At 43.0% G+C, this 12,114-nt stretch overlaps 1 protein-coding gene and 1 non-coding gene across 8 annotated transcripts in view; both read left to right on the top strand.

The window, feature by feature from the left end:
* The window catches only part of ASTN1 (astrotactin 1), a 307,392-nt gene that overhangs the window by 127,866 nt on the left and 167,412 nt on the right, over nt 1-12,114 (top strand). For all 7 annotated transcript variants that reach the window (XR_001737193.3, XR_921796.4, NM_001286164.2 and 4 more), the window contains exons 3-5: nt 3,998-4,391; nt 5,895-6,041; nt 7,106-7,213. Coding sequence is in view for 5 of the 7 variants with exons in the window: in NM_001286164.2 (NP_001273093.1) it covers nt 3,998-4,391; nt 5,895-6,041; nt 7,106-7,213 (649 nt within the window). In the remaining 2 variants the exon portion in view is untranslated. The remainder of the gene's footprint in view (nt 1-3,997; nt 4,392-5,894; nt 6,042-7,105; nt 7,214-12,114) is intronic.
* On the top strand, nt 7,402-7,484 carry MIR488 (microRNA 488). Its single transcript, NR_030163.1, has one exon. It is a non-coding gene; the product is annotated as a microRNA 488 (primary transcript).

Genomic DNA, 12,114 nt, shown 5'->3' with positions numbered 1-12,114 from the left:
CCCTGTCTCAAAAAAAGAAAAAAAGAAAAAAAAGAAAGAAATTATCCAAGACCTATGGTTTATTGAAAAATGTAACAGTAACTGAATGTGAGCCAAGTCCTCACTGTAGAAGGACAGTTACCAAAGTGGCTAGACCCCTGCCTTTTCCTAGTGTAGTGGTGGGCCTATATTTTCTTCCTACGTGCTACCTGCTCAAGCAGGTAGAGCATTTCAGAGAAATTTATGTGTAGTGATTTTACAAATAATTATTACAAAATATTATTAAATAATGTCACATATTAATGTCACATCACATTACAGTATATTATTATTTATGTAATAGTCCACAATTAGTAAGCCATTGCAAAGTATTTTGACATCTGTCACCAATTTGAGTTACAGAAGCAGAGAACCCATACCACAACTTGAGTACCTGAGAATCCTTTTTCAAATGCTTGTGCTGAGTTTTACCTATTGGCTGAAGCTTATTCCTGGTAACTGATTATTAGAAAGCTGAGGTCGGCCGGGCACGGTGGCTCACACCTGTAATCCCAGCACTTTGGGAGGCTGAGGCGGGTGGATCACCTGAGGTCAGGAGTTTGAGACCAGCCTCAACATGGAGAAACCCCGTCTCTACTAAAAATACAAAATTAGCCGGGCGTGGTGGTGCATGCCTGTAATCCCAGCTACTCAGGAGGCTGAGGCAGGAGAATTGCTTGAACCTGGGAGGTGGAGGTTGCAGTGAGCCAAGATCGTGCCATTGCACTCCACTCCAGTCTGGGCAACAAGAGCAAAACTCCATCTCAAAAAAAAAAAAAAAAAAAAAAAAAAGAAAGCTGAGGTCATCCCATCCAGAGTCACTGACTCTAAGCAGAGGAAGCGTTTTTTACTAAAGCAAAATTAGAGAAGCTAAATATACTGGCTTAGCAAAACAAATCTTCTGTTCTAGCTCCCTATAAGTTATGTTTTTAAGAAAAATGAACATAAAATATTCTTAATTGAGTGTCTAGGCTCCACACATGGTTAAGAGAATTTTGGATGAACTTACCAAAATGGCCTGTGAGAAGAGCAGTGAAGGAAGATCTGGGACTAGAGCCAGTTCTGCACTGTCTAGTTCTGTAGTTTCTCTGAGCCTTGGTTTTTTCATCAGAAAAGGAAGGGGCTGAACCTAGAGATAGATATGCAATGGGTCCCTAAGTTGAAAGAAAGTACACATTTCTCATCTAAATTCAGCTCAGTTGAAGGCCTAATGGTATCTCTCAGGCATGTAGTGACACAAATAGTCCTGTTTAAACACAGATAACTTGAAATGTGAGTATCGTCTTTTTACTACCAACTAATCTTGGATTTGGATGCTTAGTAGGTGCTTACTAAAGGTCGTTTGTTTATGATAGCTCCTCCTTTGACCCACTGTCAGCTAGATGTGCATTTTGAATATTTGAAATTTGAGTATTTGAATAGTTACTCTTTTTTTCTTCCAGAACTGACAATGGGTCTGGATGTATTCATCCATACTCTCCTATTCTGTCCTCTTATGTTGTGCAAGATAGATGCCAGGGTGTAGATGTCTCTCCAGTGAGCAATGCTCATTCTGGGTGACTGCAGGCTAGTGCTTAAGAATATAGGCTGTGAAATAAGAGTTGTGGTCTCATTCCAGTCCCACTCCTCATTTGCTGTGTGACGTTGGGCAAGTTATTTAACCTCTGCGCCTCATCTTTTTCAAATGTAAAATGGGGAATTGAGTTAAAAGTGAGGAACCTTTTGAACAAGTATCTGGTACATGGTAAAAGCATGATAATGGACAGCTAATCTTGTTTTATTACTGCATAATATAGGGAATGAGTCTATGCCTCAGACCTCATCATAACCCTGTTGTGATCATCTGAAAGGAGAATTAGAGAGGAACAGTGGAAGGAGCTCCTAAAAAACCCTACATGAGCAAAAAACATAGTGTTTAAGCCATTCCTTAGAGATTGATGCTTACGCTACTCTTACAGCTCCTTAGGGAATAAAATTACCTCTCGTTTTCACTAGCTTAATTCAATGTCTGACAACTTCTCTCAGTTGGGAAGTTATTCCTTCTGTGTGGCTTAATTACCTATTGTTGCAGTTTCAATTTGGGGTGAAGGAAAAGATAGCACTGACTCTGAGATACAGGTTCTGCTAAAAAAAAATGTCAGGTTGGACACAAATACTCGCTGTCAATGAGTGGTACAGGGCTTAGTCATGCACTGTGGAGGCACTGTGTCTTCTAGGCAGTGTTCTGGGGGGTCCCAGGAGCTCTGTGTGTGTGTCTGCAGGGCTGCCAGGATGGATGGGAGTGGAGGTGGCAGTTAGCAAGGACCTAGAATACTTGGCTTTGGACTCATACCCATAATGGAACCTGAGCATGTTTATTCTTTCTCTATACTTGCATAAGAGCTTGCACCAGGAGAAAGGGTTCTGCAAAAAAAGAAATAATTGAAAACCAGGAGGTCAGCATACATCTGTCCCCAACAAGCCACATGATATAGGCTGTCACTTGGCAGCTGACTCTGTTGCCTCGTGTCTCTGCTCCTCTGTGCTGCCTGCTTGAAAGTGGCAGTGTGTGTGTGTGTGTGTGTGTGTGTGTGTGTGTGTGTGTTCCTTTGCTCACAGCGATGGTGAGAGGGGGAGGATAAATAGGAAGATTTTCAGGGAAAGAAATTTTATAAATCCAAGGTATAATTATTATGAGACTGGAAAAGCCCCCTTTAATGTATTTGGAGGCATACTCTTGACCTAGCTTTATGTGGGTGGGCCCTCTGGGAATTAGTAGCGGATTTTTATCTCTAGCTTATTTGATAGGGAGGTATGATTGAAGCCTAAGGTTGAGAGAAGAACCATTTGGCACATGCTGGCCTAATGAAATAGGTTTGGAAAGATATTGACCAAAATAAAGGGAGTGAATAGAGATTGTGCACGGGAAGATTTATGCCCACCGAGTGCCATGCAGCACCAAGCTTAAAGGCTGTCCCTCTAAATGCTGCCCCGGTGATGTCAAGGCCATGTGTTCAGTCTCACTGAGTTCTGCATCCTCACCTCTGGCAGTCGACAGAGTGGTGTCCTGATTTGTAAGGAATGACCTTCGAGGTGTTGGCCTTTGAGCACCAGAAGGTAACTCCTCCACCAGCCTGACTCCAGGACTTGGGTTTCAATCCCTTCCCCTGAGCTTTAGTAAGAAGACGGAACATCACTCAGGACTGTGTGGTTAAGGGAAAGCTGTGACCCAAAAGTCATGTTCAGATGATGAGATTCCTCCCCACACTTGGTGGTAAATTCCTGATGGATGTAAATTTCTATTCAGATTTGTCAATGGTTTTTCCTGCTGGGCCAGTTATTCAGATGGAGACATTTAAGGTTATGCTGAGAACAGCTTTGATTGTGTGAGATATATTATGCTAGGCACTTTACATAGTTAGCTAACCTAATTCTTACAACCACCCTGGGTGGTTAAGTGGTGTCTTCTCCATTATACAGATGACGTATCCGAGGTTTAGAATTTATAGGACCCACTGATAATTGGTGGAACCACTGTTAGAATCTATGATTGATGTTTAGACGTGAGACAGGAAGAAACCAGATGTCACCCCATATTGCTAAAAAAAATAAAGTCCTGAAACCAGCGTTATGTGTGGCAGATTTAACTTAATACATAAAAGCTCTCCCCTGTTTTTGCAGCTGAAATCACGCACACACACACACACACACACACACACACACACAGACTTGTTTCTTCAAATTGTTTGCTAAGCCCGAAGCAACTGGATCACTTGAAATGATGCACTGGTCATCCCAGCTCCATTTTTCTCTCACCCTAAATACCAGTCACAGTAGAATTTCCCTTTGCTGCTGAATGATGCTTGCTGTAAATGCTTAATACAGCTGAATGAATGAATGCATAAATAAGTGATGAATGGTGGTAGCAGAAGGAGCAGTGACTCTTTGTGGGAAGAGCCTACCCATCTTCCCACATCCATCTGTGGTCCTCTCTTCCTAGGGTGGCATGATCGCTCTGCTGCTGTCCATCTTGTGCCTGGTGATGATCCTGTATACTCGCCGGCGCTGGTGCAAACGCCGCCGGGTCCCGCAGCCCCAGAAGAGTGCCAGTGCTGAGGCAGCCAATGAGATTCACTACATTCCTTCTGTGCTGATCGGCGGGCACGGACGGGAGAGCCTGCGCAATGCCCGCGTGCAGGGCCACAACTCCAGTGGCACCCTGAGCATCCGGGAGACACCTATCCTGGACGGCTATGAGTATGACATCACTGATCTGCGCCACCATCTGCAGAGGGAGTGCATGAACGGAGGGGAGGACTTTGCCAGCCAGGTCACGCGCACCCTCGACTCCCTGCAGGGCTGCAATGAAAAGTCGGGGATGGACCTCACACCAGGTGGGGATGGGAGAAAGGCAAGGGGCTGTTTGGTCCTTCATCTCAAGGAGCTGGGGAGTGGGTAGGAACAGCTGTGTGACAACAGCTGGTTGTCCTACATAGTGTGATGTGGCAGTGCCCTTCCCTAGATAGGCAAGAATAACCTGTTTCCTGAGATGATGGGAGCTGTTTTCTAATCTAGAAAACCAGAAGAACCGTGTAAATTGGATCTTCTTTCACTTCCACCAGGCACTGGAAGCAACATACTTTAACGTTCAACAGAGGAGTGAGTTAGAGCCATTTTAGTATGTAATGAGCAACCCTCTGGGAAATGAGATAGCAAGAAAAATGAACATGTGTATATGACTTCTTGTATATTTTATACTTGCTTAGGCAATTTAATTCTCCATTGAAGCGGAGGGGACAGTGGTATCTGCTTTTTCCTATGACTCCTGAGAATTGGGCCTGGGGTGTTTTCTTTATGTTTATCTTGCTCATGCCTCTGTGCTCTCTACAAGGGATGCACTTCTTCAAAGAAAATGAAGGATTGCAATCATGGTATCAGACCCCAGATGCATTGTGTATCTATGGAGACACTGACTGGAAGAACTAATCCAGATGAACAAGATTAGGGTCAAAAACTGCAGAGAGAGAAAGACTGCACTCTTCCTTTACAGTAATCTGCCTATTTCTCTTTAAAACTTCTATGAATCAGCAAATCTCCATAGATAAACCCTTGACAGTGATCCTTCAAAGAACTGCCCAATTATCTTTGAGGAAGACATGTTTGATGCTGAATGTTGCTTACTATATATAGACTTTCAGTGGGGCTTGAAAAAGTGGAATCACATAGAGGTTTTTATTCTGCTTGTTCTCTACAAGACATTCTACATGAAGAGCCAATTTCTAATGAGATTTAAAGCCTGAAAATTCCTTGAGAATATGGGGGACATATCATCAACATCTCTTCATATTGACCATAACACCTGGTGTAGTGCTAAGCCCACAAAGTAGACATATGGTACTCAGGGGTTATTATCAACTCAAATGCCTTTAGGAGGCCAACAGATAACACAGATATTTGAAGCAGAGAAGAGGTCAGACAATACAGAATGGCGCAGACTGTGATGAAAGAGAAGGGGCATGTTCTGCCTGAATGCACACAAATTCAAATTCTTTTAAAACTCTGTGCTGACCAAAAATAAAGAAATCTGCAGTCTGTATTTAGCCAAAGGGTTACAAGTGCTGACCTTATCAATACAGAATATTATAATACATAATATAATAATAGTTGAATTGGATTTTCAGTTGTAGTTCCCTGACTTCACTGCTTCTCCCATAACTTTGCAGTCCCTCAGAAATAAAAAAGGAGTATTTCAGTTTCTTGCAGCCAGTCTCTCAGTTTGCTGGTGTCTTATTTCAATTCTGTGAGACCTTATCTTCTTGGTTTATGCAGATTTCCTTCTTCTCCCTTTCTTTTGGTCTTTTCTCTTAAAGTTTTTGCCTCGTCTTTTCCTTATACAGGAAGTGACAATGCCAAGCTGTCACTGATGAACAAGTATAAAGATAATATTATAGCCACTAGCCCTGTGGACTCCAACCACCAGCAAGCCACCCTTCTCTCTCACACCTCCAGCAGCCAGAGAAAGCGGATCAACAACAAAGCAAGAGGTATGCATGTCTGACATTAGGGCTCGTGGGTGGATTCCTTCATATTGGTAGAGGCAGGGCCATTAATATCTTCTACCCATTCTCTCATGCGTGGCTGGAGAGGGTATGCCCTGGCACAGCCTTTCTGGAGGCCAGTTAAATGCTACTTACCAAAAAAATGTAAATGTGCAAACCTTTTGACCAAGTAATTTCACCAACAAGAGTCTATTCTTAGGAAATAATTGGACAAGTGTGCAAAGAAGTGTGTAAAAGGCCGTTCATCACAGCATTGTTTAAACAAGTGAAAAATTGGAAATAGCTTAAATGTCCATCAACAGGGAATTGGTTAACTACCTAGCACATCTGTCTGCTGTCCAGCACTTACCATGCAGCCATTTGAAACAATATAGATCTATATTTGTTAATATGGAAAGTTGCCCACCCATCTATTAAATGGGAAAAAAAATGAAGTTATAAAATAGAAGATACAGCATAATGTCATTTTTAAAGAGAGATTAAAAAACCTTTACCTGTTTCTGTGTCAGTAAAAGCCAGAGAGTATACACATGAAATGTTAGCAGAGTTTATCTCTGATTTAAAGGATTTAGAGGGCATTAGAATTGTTCCCTTTACATAGTTTTGTGCATTTCCTTTATTCTATTCTGTCTTTTTTGTATTAAATATATATAATTCTAGAGCCAGAAAAAACACAAAGATGTAATTTCCTATACCTCTTAGATAGTCTCATATTAACAGAATCATAACCTGTAATGAGGGAAATTTCCCTTTCTTCCTATTCCACCCACTTTCCCTGGAGGTCCTCTCTGGCAGATAGGTGCCAGAAATGGCCCTAGTCAGAGGGAAGTGGGTGGGGCAGGGTAGAGCTCCAGTGATTGCTGTCCCAATGGTCTACTTCTCCAACATATCCGTGTATGAGGAAGCCCCAACCCCCTTGGCTATTTCTCCCAGATTATCAGTCAGCTTACTTTCATTTTTGTTGATTTTCCCATTGAACTTGCCCAAAGGTTTGGTGTCATGAAACCAGAACTGAAAACGCTTTCTTGACCATGCTGCTTTCATTACAGCTGGTTCCGCCTTCTTGAACCCTGAAGGGGATTCTGGCACAGAGGCAGAAAACGACCCCCAGCTGACCTTTTACACGGATCCTTCAAGGAGCAGGAGGCGTAGTAGAGGTAGGAATGATAGAGGTGGCAGAAGGTGGTAAAGGATCTGGGAGTGAGGGAGGCGGGGGAAGGCGAAGAGGTGTTGGGTTGGGTTGTGGGCTCTATGGAACAAAACCAGTTTCTGCAAGAAGAATTTTTGGACCACAACTGGTGTTTCCTCCTAAGGAAGAAAGAAGAGCCTAGAGTGGAAAATTTCAGAGAATCATCTCTCCCAGATAATGGCACTCTCAAACAAGTTTCCAAATTGTTTGAAAGGCTATTTCTTGGTCAGATGACTCTCAATTTCTTCTGGAAGACTCAGGAGTCATATTTTGCTGTTCAGACAAACAAAGTTAATAAAGTGTGTTGTATGTGAAAAGATGGATACTATATGTACCCCTGCTTCCTCTACCACATTGGCCTTGGGTTTGAGCTAGGCAAGGATTGGGGGCAGTGTAGTTGAGGAATGATCTATGGCCTGAAAATCTGTGTAATTGTCTTTGACCTTTAAGCCCCTGCCTGGTAGAATCACAGGACCCCGAGCCTCCCAGTTCCTTCCTTTCCCCTGGCAGGGTTAAGGTGGCTAATCCATTCTCCTCCACGTGGACAGAGCTGTCCTTCCACGCAGCCACTGTGTGCCACTTCACTGTCATGATCAGTGGCTTCAACTGTGGCTATTCCGGCCACAGCTCCCACTGCCTCTGACTTCACTTGTATCACCACCACACCAGCGGAGTTCGGAGCACAAGCGCCGGTCAGCTTTACCAGTTATTTGCTGTGTGGTACTGGATAAGAACAACAAGTTCTCTGACCTTCAGTTTACTCACATGTCAAATGAGTTAACAATACCTTGTGCGTAGAACATAGAGCTTTATCAGGATTAAATTATATTAAAATGTGCCTTTTTGGAGATTGCTAAAGCACTATGAAATCCCTATTGTTGCTGTTAGAACTCTCCATCATGCAGCCCCATATTTATACAGTGCCCCATCTTAAAGAATTTTAGGCAGCGTCCCTGTAAGATACAGTAGAGGATATTTGAGTGGCATCTCCTTGTAATACATTCCATAACAATTTCCTCAACCAATAGTCAACCAGTGTCTCCTGAAAGACATATACATTTTTATTCTCTCGTACCTCCACTTGAATTCCCTTCATAACAGGTGTTCTTCCCAGAGATTTGAAGAAGCCCTTTTGATTATAAATTCCAGTTTCTATAGGCTTAACTACTATCAGTATAATAAAAGTTTTTCCATCATTTTTCTCAAGAGATCATTGTGGCTCTGGGTATTCTAATATTGAATGGCCAGGTTCTGTGAGGCGAGAATGTGGATTAGGGTCTCCCAATCTCCCTTGATACTTATTACAAATTTTAGACAGTGGATACCCAACCTAGGCCCAGCTAATCCAGGCCTAATCAAAGCAGGGTGTGTCCTGCTTTAATAAAGTCTTGTTTCAGAAAAATCCATGGTAATGAATTAGTTTCTCGACAGCATGAAACTGTTCCTTTTAAATACCAAGGTCTCCTAATGCATCAACTTTTTACGCTATTAACCAGACTGTAAGCTTCTTAGGGGTGGGGAATGCCTAATTTATTTTTCCAAAGTGCCTAGTGAAGGATTTTTCCTGTAACAGATGCTTGTAAGTGTTTGTTGAATTGGATTGGATATATCCATCAGTGCAGCAAAAACATTTTATAACCCACCTGCTGTGGGTCAGGTTTGTGATAGGTGGTAGAAACATGAAAATATGGCCCAGTGATAAGGCTTAATTTAATAATATAAATAAAGTGAAGAGAGTACTCAGAAGAGAGGACAGTTAATCCTACCTGAAAGCAATGGGAGGCAAAAAAGGAGAAAGTAATTAGAACTAGGTTTTATATATATGTATATATACACATACACACACACACACACACACACACACACACACACACACACACACACACACTGTACTGGGTTTCTCAAAAGAGGAGAAGAAGTCTAGGATAAGGGCATTTCAGTAAAGGAAAATGGCACATAAAAAGCCTTGAAGGGACAAAAGAACATGGTGTTTTAAAGGAAGTAAAAGTCGTTCAATATGGCAGCTGTCATCAAGTTATAAATATATACGCACACGAGATGGTAAGGATGAGGCTGGAAAATGGCTAACAAAGGACCATGCACATGCCATGTGACTGAGTTTCTGCTTGCCTCAGTGGGGTGTAAGGAACCATTGGAGGTTCTGAAACCAGGTAGAGATGCTGGATTATGGGTCGATGATGCAGAAAGACCATAGAGTCAGGAATATCCGTAGCAAGTCATTGAAATCACATGAGAGCAGTGGCAATTGCCTGTAAACAGTGATGATTCTATGTGATAAGAGCTCTAACAGCTCTTATCACACCTTATAGCACCAAGGGCTAGAACACCAAGGAATCAGTGAGAATCTGTTCTTGGAGGTTTCAGGGAAGTGTTTACAGGGAGATGTTGTTTGAGCTGAGACTTGAAGAGTAGGTGTATACCAGGCTGACAAGGTGACAAAATGGCCTTCTGTGGAGGAGGAAATAATCTGTGCAAAGTCACTGAGACATAAACTATGATGGTCTTGTCAGGGAGCAGTAAAATGTTTACTAGAATAGAGCTTAGGGTGCAGGTTTGTGGTTTTCTTAGGAAATAATGTTAGAAGATCAGCAGAAGCCAGAAAGTACATGAGCTTGATTCCAAGGGCCTTGGACCTGACAAAAGAGCAACATCCTGGTCTGCTCTGCTCCATGAAGGATCCTCCCAGGGACAACATGCAGGATAGGTGACAGCAGGGTGAGCTTGAGGCAGGGGAACAGGTGGATGGCTTCTGCTTCAGTTTAGATATAAGATGATATGGGTAGGGAGGGATGGAAAGAATGGAGGCCAGATAAGTTTTGGACACAAAATGAGAGAAACGCAAATCAAAACTACAATGAGATATCATCTAACCCCAGTTAAAATGGCTTTTATCCAAAGACAGGCAATCACAAACACTGGTGAGGATGTGGAGAAAAGGGAACCCTTGTACACTGCGGTGGGAATGTAAATTGGTACAACCACTATGAAGAACAGTCTGGAAGTCCCTCAGAAGACTAAAAATACAGCTGCCATATGACCCAGCAATCCCACTGCTGGGAACATACCCTAAAGAGACAAAGATTTAATGGCATTGGTGAGGGCAGGGTGGGGGTGTGGCTTGTAAGCAAGAGAAAAGAGTTGGATATAATGGAGTTTTTAAATTTGAGCAACCAAATGTGTGGCAGTGCCATTGGCTGGGCAATGGAAGTAGTTGGAGGAGCAGGGTTTGAGAGAAGGTGGTGAGAGGAGGTAGTGAGGTTTTGAGAGAAGGTGGATCTGCATCTGAGGCCTGGGCTGGGCTGGAAACCTGTAAGCGTAGGAAAATAGACTGTATTATGAAAGGATAGTAACATGCACAGAATATTTCCATCTATCAAGGACAGAGGACCCAGAGACTACCTTCTGCCCTCAAGTCTCTCCTTTCCAGCTACTGCCAACACATGCACCCAGAGGAAACTGCTCCCCTAAAGGACAAGTATATCCATAAACCAAAAACTCATCCCTGTGTTCCTGAGGACATCAGTTCCAAAGGCACCACTGGGCCCAAAGACTGAGTAGTGCATTGTTCCTGTGTCCTGAAACCTCACCTGGATCTGCATTTTTATCTGGCTCCACACCTTAGTAGTTTCCTGGGACTAGGCATGCTCTCCAGCCTCTCTAACCCTCTATTCCTCCAGGGGAGCTGCCTCCTAAGACTGGGGACACTAGTCAATGATGCGAGCCACATCAAACCCTGAGCACTGGAGCCTGACACACAATCATCACTTCATAAGTGTTAATTGCCACAAGGAGCGTCAACTCTTACAGATCTATTTTCCTTATCTGTAAAGTGGGTGGTTCCCATACAGACTCATAGGCTTATTGTAAGAAAGCAAATATTAAAAATAAAATAAGGTACGTAAAAAAACTCAGCACAGTGTCTGCCTTAATGGAAACCTTTTATTGCTATCAATAATAAGTATTAACACAGAGCAGAAGAAAATTCCAAAAGACCCACACATTCTGTCGTCTTGCTTTCTTACTTTCCCACATCTGTTCTGCTTCCATAAGCATAAGGCTCCCCTGCTTAATGGCATTTCGTCTTCTCCCCAACAGGAAAAAAAAAAGCCAAGAAACAAAAAATTAAAAAAAAATAACAATGGTACAAAAAAAATAAAGAAACAAAACACTCTTCCCTCCCTATCCCTATTTCCACCTCCCCAGGAGTGTTTCTTAATCCTCAGCAATGATTATTTCCTCCAATGATTCCAGGACTGTGGAGAGCATCCTGGTGTGACAATGTTGTCTGCTCATACAGAGCAGACATTCCTCATTTTCCTCATTCCAGGTCCCACAGAGTAAGAGTCACTTGGTAGGAGTCTTGCCCATAGAGTAAGCACAAGCTCTTCCAGCTCAGGAAGTTCCTCCTGGAGCAGCAGTGTGCACTATGGGGGTGGAGTTGCTCTGTGCAGAATGCCCTCTGTGAAGAGCGATGGGAGGTATAGTGTGGGATTAAAGCATCCCGCCCACCCTTGGCAAAAGCCTGGAGCTTAGTAAGGCGACTAGGGAAGAGAATGCCCCCTCTATGATTTCTCCTGTGAACTTGGCCCAGGAAGAGTGAAAATGGCCAACAGACTATTATTGACCTGGAGGGCCACCAGTTGGCCAAGTCCCCTCTGACTCCAACTGATGGCATGGTGTCTGTGAGGAAGAAGGTCACTGAGGTCATGCAGCCAGAGACAGTTCCCTCCATGGGCTAGTTTTGCCAACTGTCTCCCCTGTTTGCCAGGATGATTGGCAAAAAGCCAAGTTGGACTCTCAATGCCAAGCTTTTTACCACCATGTATCTTGCTTTTGTCTCACTTTCAG

The sequence above is a fragment of the Homo sapiens genome, chromosome 1, assembly GCF_000001405.40.
Source record: "Homo sapiens chromosome 1, GRCh38.p14 Primary Assembly".
NCBI lineage: Eukaryota > Metazoa > Chordata > Mammalia > Primates > Hominidae > Homo > Homo sapiens.
The sequence above is the reverse complement of the archived record's forward strand: the minus strand, read 5'-3'. Positions and strand labels throughout refer to the sequence as shown.